Source organism: Homo sapiens, chromosome 1 (genome assembly GCF_000001405.40).
Source record: "Homo sapiens chromosome 1, GRCh38.p14 Primary Assembly".
Lineage (NCBI taxonomy): Eukaryota > Metazoa > Chordata > Mammalia > Primates > Hominidae > Homo > Homo sapiens.
This window is the reverse complement of record NC_000001.11, coordinates 180,174,108-180,187,098: the sequence shown is the minus strand read 5'-3', so window position 1 is coordinate 180,187,098 and position 12,991 is coordinate 180,174,108. Positions and strand designations below refer to the sequence as shown.

Below are 12,991 nucleotides of genomic sequence, written 5' to 3'. Positions count from 1 at the left end.
GCAGCCCCAGCTTCCTGCAGACCCACACTGAGGAGGGTGGGCTCAGATCCGGGCCCCAGGGCCAAGGGAGGCTGAGCCAGCGGCCAAACCCGAAGCGCCCAGAGCCACATCTGACTCAGCAGTACTGAGCAGCAGAGTCCAGGGTTTCCAGCAGGGACGCAATGGCCAGGATCTGGAACCAAAGGGAAGGGCGCAGAGAGGGAATGGCAGCCACCTCTCACCTTCAGAGAGGAAGGAGCACAGGCTCAAGGCCTGACCACAACACTTTCAGGCTGGCAGAACGAAGGCATGGCACTTGAGCTCCCTGGGCCTCTTAAATCGGGGAGGACAAAATAAACCACCCACCTCGCAGAGTAGTTAAAAGGATTAAATCCTAGACAAACATCAAGTCCTCAATAAATAGGAGCTACCCTTCGTGGAGTAGCCACCTTCCCGGGGAAACTATAAAGGAATAAGGAAGGCATGGCCAGGGCCAGGGATCGGGTCAGACTGGGAGGGAAGCAAGGAGTATCAGAAGAGCATCCTCTCCTTCGCCAGGGTGTCCTAGGGGTCCTGCTTTCCCAGTGACCACAGAAAGGGGTGGGAAGCCACACTGGGGCTCTGACTGAGGACTCAGGCAGGCAGAGCCACAGTCACTGAATCAGCTGGAAATATCCCCAGGTGGGGGGCACGGGCCCTGTGTCCCACCCACACTGCTGCATGGGGCAGGGTTGTCCCTGGCAGTGTGGGGCTGGTGTGGGGTATGGCTGAGGCTGGAGGGTATCACCTATGGTGGACAGGGAGAGCTGTGGGTCCAGGTGTCCAGCCAGACCATGGGCTTCTGGAGGGAGGGGCTGACGGGGTGCCCAGCCTTACAGGAACGCACACTGACCATCCGTAGAATTGCACAGACAAGGGAAGCCATGGCCCTGCTCACCTTGGCCAGCACTGCCACAAACTTTTTCAGGGCCACCAGGCGCTGCCCTTCCAGGACCGGGAACCTGCCCACTTCTATCCGCAGGATGTAGTGCAGTGCAGATTCCAGGTCAGCCATGTAGATCTTGGAGCTGAGGACCCAGAGGGAGATAGAGAGAGAAAGAAGTATTAACCATGGTGCAGGGGCTGCAAGGAGCATCCAGGGCTAAAGGGAGAGAAGAGAAGGGGCACTGCTGATGGTCACAGAGTCTTGTAAGTTACCACTGGCTTCTGCCAGAAATGTGCTGTGTGACCTTGGGTAAATTACCTAATTTCTCTGAGCCTCAATTCCTCATCTGTAAGATATGAATAACACATTGCTCACAGGTAAGTTGCTGAGAGGATCAAATAAAAGCACAAATGTAAAAAACTCTCAGCAGCTCCTGGCAGGGAGTAGGAGTTTTCTCTCTCCAGGCCCACAGCCACCCCTCCTGCAACTCACTAATCAGGCCAGCTCCGAGCCAAGACCACTAGACATAATCAGACCAGCAGGTTCATACACACGACATGGCTCTGGAAAAACTGGGCCCTCTCTGAAAGACCAGGGTTTAGCTGCCCACCAAGTCTGGGAAATGGCGACTGGGGGCAGGAGGGGAAGCAGGGCCTGTATTTCTTTCAGGGCTGATGTGCTCACAGCTGCCGGACCTCACATCTTAGGTGGGCCCATCTCACACCTCTCCGCAGCCCTCATGGAAGGGCCGGAGGCTCCATGCTGGCCCCAGGCCCATCATGCTGGGGTCCAGGCTCAGGGTTCTGATGGCAGGGGCCAGGAAAGTTGGGTGCCTCTTCCCCTGTCTCTTGAGACCTGGGTTCTGACCTCAGTTTGACTGTGAGCTAGTTTGTGAGCTTGGGCAACTCAGTTGACTTTCCTGGGCCTCAGTCAGCTCACCTGTAAAACACATGACTTGCTCCTGACCCCTCCATGACAACCTCCTGAGGTTGGAAAGAGCCAATAAGGTCAACTAATGGGGTACGCATTGTGGCTGCCTATGCTCCTCCTCAGGGCAAGGTCTCCTCTGTGTTCCACTTTGCTGTCCTTGGGCCTCAGTTTACCTCTCCATTCCTGTGCCCTGCCTCCAGAAGTGGCCCCATGACTGAATGAGGTAACACAGGGAAGGTGCCCAGCACAGAGCCTGGCACATACACCAGCCCAAGCTATTACAAGAACGTCAATGGTTTGCATAACTGTAATGATCGAATGATTATGATGATCATTCATAATGACGGAATGATCATAATGATTACACCACCCCTCACTCTCTCTTTCCTTCTCCCTTGATCTACTAAAAGTCTCTCCATTTGGCACTTTCCACCCTTAAAGTCCCTCATGCTAGGATGCAAAGTCCTTCTTGCAATCACCTTTCCCCCACTGTCTCGTGCATCCCCTTGTGAGGGGCACCGTCCTGGCCAGCTCTGAGCTCCCTGGTCAGACATTTCCACCTGGTATGCAGCTGGTACCAGTGCAGGAGGTCTACAGCTCTGTCTCACTGCCCAACCACAACAGAAAAGGCAACGAGCCTCAGAGAGAAGAGCAGCTCTCTCATGCTTACGACTGTGGACACACACACAGGTGACCTGAAAAGGCAGTGAACTCACTGACACCACAGGCATTCAAGTGAGGTTGGGTGCCTTCCTAGAAGGGATGCTGTAGGGTCTGCACAAGCAGAGAATGCATCTGCCTGTACATATCTGCTGCCACAGTGCCTAGCACATAGTGAGTACTCAAAAATATTGACTGCACAAATAATTGCTTGGGTGGGAAGTTGGTCTGGAGGCCTCAGAGTGTCCTTGCACGCAGATTCCCCATTTGTGAGCAGAGTTAAGCTGAAGGAGCGTGGGCATGGAAGGTGTTCATTCCCCAGTCAGCCCCGGCCCCGCAACAGACACCAGAGGCACCGCAGCTAAATGCCGCTCCCACACATTGAAGGTCCCTGAGCATGGCCAGACCCCAGGGTGGGGGACAGCCTGGCTCAGAATGTACACACTAATCATATGACAAGGAAGAAGAATGAGCAAGAGGGCGTGGGTGTGAAGGTGTGGTGGTCTGTGATCAGAGGAAGGAGAAGAAGTGAGGAGAACCAGGCGTAGCCTTACCGATCTGCCAATTTCCAAACAGTGGGAGCTATCTTGTTAGCAGTGGTTGGTGCAACTGTGGTCTGGGCAGCCTCCCTGGTGAGCCCAGAGAGTCTCTGCAGGTAAGCGGTATAGAAGGACCTGGATTCCATGAGCCTGTGAGGGCACAGAACCAGGGAGGAGAGGCAGTAAGTGCAGAGAACAAGATTAGAGCTAACCAATGTCAGAAGAGGAAGAAGGGTGGCTCATCGGACAGGAAGGTTTATTAAATATGTGAACGAGATTCCATCTTGTCCTCTGTGAGGCCAGAAGACGGCACCCAGGCCTCGCTGTAACCCTTCTAATCACTGCACATGCTCTGGAAAGCCTCTCTGACACCAGCCTGATGTCAAACCTCACCTGGTAAGGCAATTGGGCCCAAGAATTCCCCCAGTGGCCCTCTGGCTCCAGGCAGGGCATGGAAAGGCACGGGACAGCCCGGTGCCCACAGACAGGAACGGCGGAGTGTGACTCCCTTCCCCAAGGACCCCGAGATTCAATATGGCAGCTGCCCATCCATAAGCTCGCCCTGAGGTACTATAAGTGACATTACCCCCTAAGAAGTCCAGGGAGTTTGATATGGGATTTTTCAAAAAACAGGTAGCAACAATGACAAAGAGCCTCCAGAATTCTCTAAATCTTTTTACGGTCTTTTTGGTTTCTTTCTTTTTTCCGACAGGGAGGAGTCCTCCAGGGCACGGGATACCTCCTGAGTGCATATTCCCTCTCACCCACAGCCAGGGCACCTGCAGAGAGAGACGCCGGGTCCAGCAGCAGCGTGAGGGCTGCCCCGGGGGAGCTGGCATGGGACGCACGGCTTCATTCCACTCCACCATCCTGGGTTTCTCGGTGAGCAGATGGCTCGGGAGGCAGCATCGTCACAAACAATTTTCCCCTCCACCAACTCGGAGAGAGGAGACAATGCCTTCTCTCCCCACCATCACTGGCACTTTCTGGGCCTGCCCGGAAAGCGAGTGCCTCCCTGTCCTTGGTGGCATCGCACCTCCTGGGCCCTCTAGCAGGTGATCTGGGCCAGGGTGAGGCCAAGTGGCCACCCTGCCCGGCGCCGTGTGGGTCGGCACTGAGGGCCCCGAGGAGCAGCTCACCAGGCACCACAGGCAAGCCTTGCCTCCCTGGCCCAATGCTCCTGCCTGCGGGGCCTGGCTGACATCAATCATCTGCCCAGGGAGGGCACCAAGGCACCATCTGGTGCCATTAACGGGCCATTCAGCAGCAGGAGCCTGGCAGAGGGGCTGAGGCTGGCCTGATTGTTTTCTCTCGGCATTTTGGAACTGGCTATTGTCTGGCTGCTAATGAACTTTTCTGCAATTAGAAAACCAAAGGGAGGGAGGGTCAGGCATATACGAGTGCTTGCCAGGCCTGTAGCCTGCCAATGAGTCTGCCTGCGAACAGAAGAGGGTGGAGAAGAGGGCCAGGGCTGTGGTGGGGACGTAATGAGGGTGCAGGCGACACTGGGTGCGGGGGGCTGAGGCCTTTGAGGTCTCTGAGCTGCGGAACAGGGTTAGCGTTTCAGGCCCAGGCTCCTGACGGTGGAGGCGCTGGCCCCGCAGACAGCAGACTGCAGCTTCTCCTGAGGGGGCTCTTCAGAAAGAACATGTTGGCCACTGTGAAAGGCGGGCAGCCCCTCTGGGCAAGAAGGAAGGATGAGCACAGGGAGGGACGAGAGGGGACGCCAGGAGACAGGATACTCACACGGGGACTCGGGAGACAGAGCCATTCCGGAACAGCAGGTAGCAAGAGGGGAAGTCGGTGACACCAAACTTTCTCACCACATTGGCCTCTGTGTTCAGCACCCTGCGCACCGCCACGCCTTTGTGCTGGGACAGGTCCAGAGCCACCTGCAGGGACAGCAGAACATCTGGGGGCCAGGCCACCGGGTGGAGGGAGCCAGGGCTGGGTCCCAGCTCGGTGACCTGTGAAGGCACCCAGATGGCAGCTGTGCTCCTTCCAGACTCTAAACCCACAAAGAGTGGACCACACTGATGCGCAAGAGATACTCGCCATCAACAGCAGCTAACCAGTAGGTAGCAAGTGCCAATCACTGCCCAGGAGGAGAGGCCTTGGAGCTGTGCATGCCACACACGCTTTAATTTCTTACGACAGTCCCAACTGGGTAGCATTTTCTTTCTAATGAAAGCAATTTGTAAAGAGCACAATAAAATGTGGTTTCATTTTAATTCTCGTTTGTTTTTTGCACTGAGCCAGCACGTTCTTGTCTTTAAGACCTTCACACCCCAAGACTGCTCTCTGATGTCCAGGATTCCCCAGGGCCTTCTCATAACATTTTTCTAAAGGGAAAAGATCCCTTTAGAAATTACTAATTATTGTTTGTTTGAAATATCAATTGTTGGGGGCAAGAGCAGTCTTCCTTATGGAAGCTTGAGTCACAGATGTTTAAAGAACTGTGATTTTATTGCGTTCAAATACATATGGTAACAAATTTCATGGGTAGGATACAAACAAAATAAACCTTTGGAATTGGGTAAACTTCTAAACAGCAGGCTAACTCTGAGCCCAGTATGTGCAGTAGTCAGAGGGGCCCTTTGGTCAATGTGTATAGTTATAAGAAGATCTGAAAACGTTTCTTAACGTGGGGCTCTCTGAAGGCAACAAGAGGCCTTGTTGAGATGACAATGTCCCCACATTAGAAATGGGAAGAGAAGTTCTGAGCATAATCGGACAGGCCATCTGCAAATGGCAGGCACGGACTTCTGTTACTGACGTCTCACTCTTCACCATGGAGCAGGTGGCGCCCCCTAGCCTTTTTTCTTATATTTATAAAGCTTCCTATCTAGACTCCGAATCAGAAAAATATACATCAGTCATCATTATTTTTTTTAGAAAGAAATAAAGAGAAAGCACTAGCTAACCTGTATTGCATAGGTATTATGTAGTGTCCACACAGATTGCCTCATTTATCTTCAGAGAAACACTGAAATAGCAGCTATTCTCAGGAGACTAAGAGATGCGGCACCGTACACTACAGTTGCCTGCATTGGAATCCTGGCCCCACTGCACCAAACCTTTCCCTGACCAAATTTCCTTACTTGCAAAATAATAATAACAACAATAATAATAATACCACCAACTTCAGGGGGGCTGTTCTGAGAACTGAAGGGGTTAATGTTATTAAAATGCCATAACAGTGACTAGCACATAGTAGGTACATAAGTGTTTACTTAAAAATAAAGCTCCCAGGCCGGGCGTGGTGGCTCACACCTGTAATTCCAGCATTTTGGGAGGCCAAGGTGGTCAGATCACAAGGTCAGGAGATCAAGACCATCCTTACCAACATGGTGAAACCCCGTCTCTACTAAAAATATAAAAAAATTAGCCTGGTGTGGTGGCGGGCGCCTGTAGTCCCAGCTACTCAGGAGGCTGAGGCAGGAGAATGGCATGAACCTGACAGGTGGAGCTTGCAGTGAGCCAAGATTGTGCCACTGCACTCCCGCCTGGGCGACAGAGCGAGACTCCATCTCAAAATAATAAAAATAAAGTTCCTGGTTGGGCGCAGTGGCTCACGTCTGTAATCCCAGCATTATGGGAGGCTGAGGTGGGCGGATCTCCTGAGGTCAGGAGTTTGAGACCAGCCTGACCAAAATGGTGAAACCACGTCTCTACTGAAAATACAAAATTAGCCAGGCATGGTGGTGCATGCCTGTAATCCCAGCTAATTGGGAGGCTGAGGAAGGAGAAATGCTTGAACCTGGGAGGTGGAGGTTGCAGCGAGCCAAGACAGTGCCATTGCACTCCAGCCTGGGCAACAAGAGTGAAACTCCGTCTCACAAAAATCAAAATAAATAAATAAATATAAAGCTCCTATCTTGTAGCTGGAGAAACTGAGGCTTAGAAGTGAAATCATGCCTCCAGATCACACAGCTTGCATATGCCTGAACTGTGCTACAAATCCCAGCTTAGTGTGGCTCCAGAACCTGGGCCCTTAGCCACTGGTCCCACGCTAAGCACCACTGCATGGGCATGGGGCACTTGGCTCCAACCACTGGGACCCCAGCCCCTTGGTACTCAAGGACTGTGGTGGGAGGGGAGGGAAAAGACCTGATTCCAATCACCATTTATCACCTCTACATAACAGGCATGACCCCAGGCATGAACTGGGACCCCAGAGGGTCAGGCACTCCTTAAGCCAAGCTGTCTTTCCCCTCCCCAACCCCTGTGCCTCCTCTCTCAGGGCTGAGAGGCCTGGAGACAGCATCTGGCTTCAGCTCAGACTCTCAGCTGTGCTTGTTGAGTTTCAGCAGGAAAATCACTCAGGCTGACAGTGCAGTTTAATTTCATGCCTACTCTCATGCCTGTCTCCCTGCACTGACTTGGAGTATCTCCCGTGCACTGGCACGTCCCACCTTTGCAGCTGGGAAAAGCTCACAACTGGTCTATGGAGAAGTCCATGAACCAATGGCAGAATGGTGAGCTCTCTGCATTAGGCGAGGGGAATGGATCCTTATAAAGCACCTACTATGTGTCAGCTGCAATCCAGGCCCTTTACATAAACTGCTGCATTTGACCTTCCCAACAATACTACGGAGAAACGTAATCATCCCTGCTTTCTAGACAGGGCACTGCAGCTGGAAGCGCTGGGGAGCTGGCTCACGGATGCCCCACATGAGACAGACCGGCATCTGGGTAAAGGACCCCATTTCCTCCGGTGGGGCTAGGGCGTCGCTAATGTTCCCTCCCTCCCAAATATTTCACTCCAGTCCCATGGAGTGGGACACTGTGGAAACAACATTGGCTTTGGAGCCAGACGGACCTGGTTCAAAGCCCTCTTCTACCAACTTACTAGCTGTGTGATCTTGGGCATGCTATTTGATCACCTTCATTAATTTTGGGGATTAGCAGCTACGTGTGTCAGCAATCTGGTCCAATGCTCAATAACAGCAGGTGTTATATTTGATTTCCGTGAAGGAGATAAGAATAAACAGCAAGGTTTTGAAACGCAAAGGTCCAGCTCCTGCACTTCCCATGGCTCCCAGCAGGGGTCAGGCCAATGCCAGGCTAAAAGACCCAGGCAGCCAAGACCCTAGAATTGGCAGGAAAAGCCCTGCTCCCAAACTGGGGCTCTCTCTCCATGGCTATCCAAGAATTGCAGGGAACTTCAGGGCAGCTCACCTCTCTACCCAGGTAGGAGCCTCCCTTTTCAAAGATCAGAGCCAGGTACTCTTCGTTATTTCTCGCAAAGAATCCATCAATCTCCTCCAGCCTGCAAGAGACAATTCTGGCAGTCACTCTGCACAGCCAGCAGAAATAAGACAAAACCGCTGGCAACGCCAGACGCTGGTGATGCAGTGCTGCAGGTATGGCCATCCCGCCCTCCTCCGCTTCCACACAGGGCCCTCCAAGGGAGTCAACCAAACCTTTAGTCTCAAAGGATGTTGCTCTTGTTATCTAACCCTGGCTCTTCATCTGACCTACCTTGGGTGCTTGGTTTTGTTTTTGCTTCCTGTCTCTTTTTAAAAGTCAGGAGTGGGCCGGGTGCGGTGGCTCACGCCTGTAATCCCAACACTTTGGGAGGCTGAGGCGGGTGGATCACCTGAGGTCTGGAGTTCGAGACCAGCCTGGCCAACATGGTGAAAGCCCGTCTCTACTAAAAATACAAAATTTAGCTGGGTGTGGTGGCGGGCACCTGTAATCCCAGCTGAGGCAGGAGAATCACTTGAACCCGGGGAGTGGAGGTTGCAGTGAGCTGGGATTGCACCATTGCACTCCAGCCTGGGCTACAAGAGCAAAACTCCGTCTCCAAAAAACAAACAAACAAACAAAAAGAGTCGGAAGTGGGTAGGAGGCCGTGTGGGGAGGGGGACTGGGAAGGGCTGCTTTGAGACCAGTTGTCTCCATGTGCTGGGGCAGGCCCAGGCTGACTGGATGTGGTTTTTATTGGTCCCCTGAGAGCTGGGGGGTATTAGAACCCAACAGCTATAAGTCTGGAACTGTGACAAGTCACGACCAAGGGGGAGATGTGCTCCTTCCTCCCTAGAGCAGGCATTAAAAAGCAATGAAAGAATCAGAAAGCCTTGGGTTCAGGAGACCTTAGAAGCCATCTATATCTCTAACCCAATCTCCTTATTTTAAGATGAGGAAACTGAGGCCCAGTTTCCAAAACAAAACAAAACATATCCAAAACAAAACAAAACAAACAAAAACATGGTATTGATGCTGGAGCCCAGCCAGTGACAGTCCAAATGGATATGCTAGACAGGTGAGGGCCAGAGTGCACCCCGCTGGGGTGGAGGAAAAGAGGTGTTGAGCCTTTAGGGTGGCATCAGGTGGCCAGCCTCTCAGACCTCTTCCCTGGGTCTTCCCTAGGCTGGCAGAAGAGCACAACCTACATGGGGGCCAGTACCCCTTTCCCCACTCCCACCCTCAGACTTCAGAAGAGGCAGCTCACCTTTCATCACACATCTCTACCTCCTTCCTAAAGTTCTTTAAAAGGATTGCTTTGGGCTGGGTGCAGTGGCTTATGCCTGTAATCCCAGTACTTTGGGAGGCCAAGGCAGGCCGATTGCCTGAGCTGAGGTGTTTGAGACCACCCTGGGCAACATGGTGAAACCCCATCTCTACTAAAAATACAAAAAATTAGCCAGGCTTGGTGGCAGGCGCCTGTAGTCCCAGCTACTCGGGAGGCTGAGGCGGCAGAATTGCTTGAACCCAGGAGGTGGAGGTTGCAGTGAGCCAAGATCGTGCCGCTGCACTCCCAGCCTGGGCAACAGAGCGAGATTCTGTCTTCCAAAAAAAAAAAAAAAAAAGGATCACTTTGAGAGACCTTGGCAGGATTGCTTGAGCTGTTGCTTTTGAGATACCCCAGGGCTGAAAATGTGCCATGAGGATGTACGTGTGTGTGTAAGGAGGGAGATGGAAACACAGTCATTGAGAAATAGAAGCAGCAAGGACCAGGGCACAGGCTGACATGGGTGTTTTCTGGAGAGACAGGGTCTGGCTGTGGAACCCCAAACCACATAAAGACTATGCTGTATCCAGGGTCCCCTGGAGGCCCTCTGGAGGATGGAAAATTGGGAAAGATGACAAAGGAGTCATTGTGAGTTGGATTCAACCCCAACTGACACTTGGAAACACAATCTCTCAGCAGGGCCATGTCTCTGAGAGCACCTGCACACAAACTTTTAAGAGAGCCTCTGCGCACCAACAGCGGCCTTGTGAGGCCTTCTTAGCACCTGGGGCCTCCACTGTGTACAAGGCTGGGCTCCCTCTAGCAGCTCCTGCTGGTACATGGATTTGTTCCTTCTTGGCAAGAGTCCTCCGAGGTGGGCATTATCCTATCTTGAGTTCTGATCCAGAAGTGGGGGGCCTAGTGTTTTTAATCTAGCTGTCTCTTCTTTGGGAAAGTATGGGCAAGACCATGCACCTTACTGTCTTCATTTTCCTGGAAAAGAGGCAAGCTGGGAAGCTTGCCTGGCTGACAGATACAGAGCACCGGCCACTGCACCTGATGCTCTGCCATACAGAGAGCCAGGGGCCACCCCCATGCCCCAGGCATGACCACCTTCTCTCCACCTCCCCCCAATTTCCCTCAAAATATTTGATCTCCTTTTTCCTCCTCATGCCATTCTGACTCTCAGTGGCCTTCCCGGGGATAGAGCATGTGAAATCCTGCTGCGTCCCGCAAACATTTTGAGGGAAGGTAGCAAGAAACAGCAGCAGGTACAACCTGGAGAAGCCCCATCCATCTTTTCCTTCCCACCTGGTGGGATGGACCCTTGCACCATCAGTCAGCCCCAGAAAAACAGGGCTCTTCAGCAGGACCTGTGCGATAGGAAGCCCACCACCAGCCATCAGCTGCCACTTGGTTCTGGAGTAGCTCCAGCAGACTGGTGTGTGAGCCCCACAGGCAAAGGCAGCAAGGAAAATAAACTGGGGTCCCCGCCCTGCTGTTCCCACCACCCTCTCACTCCCAGGCCTGGGATCCTGGCCCACAATGCACTAAGCCTGCCCCAGCCCAAAGTACTTGGCAGGCTCCAGTGGGGGACAGGCTGGGGGCCACGTGTCATGATGGGACTCCAGGGCGTCAATGAGCCTCTCCCGCAGTGTCTGCACGTCAGCACCAGCCACTGTAAATGAAAACAGGCGTGAGCGGAGTGTCAGGAGAGCAGAGCTGCTTCCACAGCACACTGGCCACCTTCACTCCCAGAAACAAAGGGCCGAGGGCACAGCCAGCTCTGACAGAGACAGACGAGGCGTCAGTCCTTCCCTGTGCTAGAAGAATGGGGCTTGAGTAGTCCTCCTGTGGCCCCAAGTAGTGCAAGGACACCCATCCCTCAGACAGGAAAGAATCCCTCAGAACTGGGAGTCGTCAGGACTTTCCCCAAGGGCTCTGGTCTGCTCTCTGGGCGCCAACCCCATTGTGACAGAAGAGCTCTTCTGGGAACATGGTGCCCCTGCCCCGACCCTAGGGCCCTGGATATGTCCAACCTGAAGGGCTTCTTCATCCTGCCTTTCCCTAAAGCTGACTGGGAGGATAGTTTTGGGAAGACACAAGTTAGGCTTCCCGTGGGGACCGCCTCACCCTCGACCCTGCCGACTGCCAGGGCTTTCTCCACCCCAATAGAAACCCAGGTGAAGAGGGAGGTTGGGGGAGGAAGATGCTAACAGGACAACCAGAGCTGGGCACCCACCTGGAAATACTGCTCCCGAGCCGTTCTTGGTAAAGGCCTTGAAGAACTGGAAGCAAACACACAGGTGGGCATCAGTAATAGATAGTGGCCAAGAGTGCAGCCACGCAGGCCTGCTCTGAAAATCTGCCTACTTATTCAATGCGGTGGCTGGGCAAATCACTTAATGTTGTTGAGCCTGTTTCTTTTTTCTTTCTTTCTTTTTTTTTTTTTGAGACAGAGTCTCGCTCTGTCGCTCAGGCTGGAGTGCAGTGGCGCGATCTCGGCTCACTGCAAGCTCTGCCTCCCAGGTTCAAGGGACTCTCCTGCCTCAGCTTCCCAGGTAGCTGGGACTACAGGCGCCCACCACCACACTCGACTAATTTTTTTTGTGTGTATTTTTAGTAGAGATGGGGTTTCACTGTGTTGGCAAGGCTGATCTCGAACTCCTGACCTGTGATCTGCCCGCCTCAGCCTCCCAAAGTGTCAGGATTATAGGCGCCTGGCCGAGCCTGTTTCTTCATCTGTAAAATGGTGAATTGGGGGGAGTTGGGGGGAGGTTGCTCTAGGAGCTGGACACTGGCTCCCTCCCCTGTTACCCTCCCACACCCCTCAGAAGCATCCATGGATCCTGTGGGCAGCAGTTCATACACTTTCCTCCTCGAGGGCCATTTCTATGCAGCACAGTACCTAGCATGTAATTACTAACCAATATTTATCGAATGGATGAGTGATGAAGTACCACTGCTGTTTTCCTTTGCAGACTCATCTGAAAACATGAAGTGCAGGCACTTCCTACGTCCCTTGGGAAATGTCAGCTTGCTTCTATGTCAATGTGCCCTTGCTCCTTACTTGGGAAAAGGGGCTTACAGGCTGCTGTCTCTGTCCACTAAGTCCCAGCCCAGCACAGCAGACACAGTCAAGGAAGGGGTCTCCAGAACAGGTTCTCTTGAAGCGGGGACCTGAGTCCCTGGGGAAACATGCCTTGCTACAGACTAGCTGATTTAACTCACCACTTTGTCCTCTTTTCCCATGTACATGACACCCCAAGCCTAGTCTGTCACCTCCTTGGGGCAAGAGGACAGACCGAACAGAGCCTGACTCCTGGCAATCTGGGCTTCTGCCCAGGCGGCAAGACAGCTGCCAAGGCTTTTGCCTGCGCTCTTCCGATTCAGGAGGGAACACAGTTGAGTTGTCCTGGAAGCCGGCCACTGAACTGCCTAGGGGAGAGCCTGCAGGCTGGGAAGAGGCTTCTTCCTGTGGGACTCTAGCCTCGGGGCCAC

At 53.1% G+C, this 12,991-nt stretch overlaps 1 protein-coding gene across 3 annotated transcripts in view; it reads right to left on the bottom strand.

Moving 5' to 3' along the window:
- Nucleotides 1–12,991, bottom strand: part of QSOX1 (quiescin sulfhydryl oxidase 1) — a 49,162-nt gene that overhangs the window by 16,932 nt on the left and 19,239 nt on the right. For all 3 annotated transcript variants that reach the window (NM_002826.5, XM_047426230.1, NM_001004128.3), the window contains exons 3-8: nt 11,733–11,778; nt 11,066–11,168; nt 8,215–8,305; nt 4,780–4,925; nt 3,049–3,183; nt 917–1,046 (exon numbers count right to left, since the gene is read on the bottom strand). In NM_002826.5, the coding sequence (NP_002817.2) occupies nt 917–1,046; nt 3,049–3,183; nt 4,780–4,925; nt 8,215–8,305; nt 11,066–11,168; nt 11,733–11,778 (651 nt within the window). The remainder of the gene's footprint in view (nt 1–916; nt 1,047–3,048; nt 3,184–4,779; nt 4,926–8,214; nt 8,306–11,065; nt 11,169–11,732; nt 11,779–12,991) is intronic.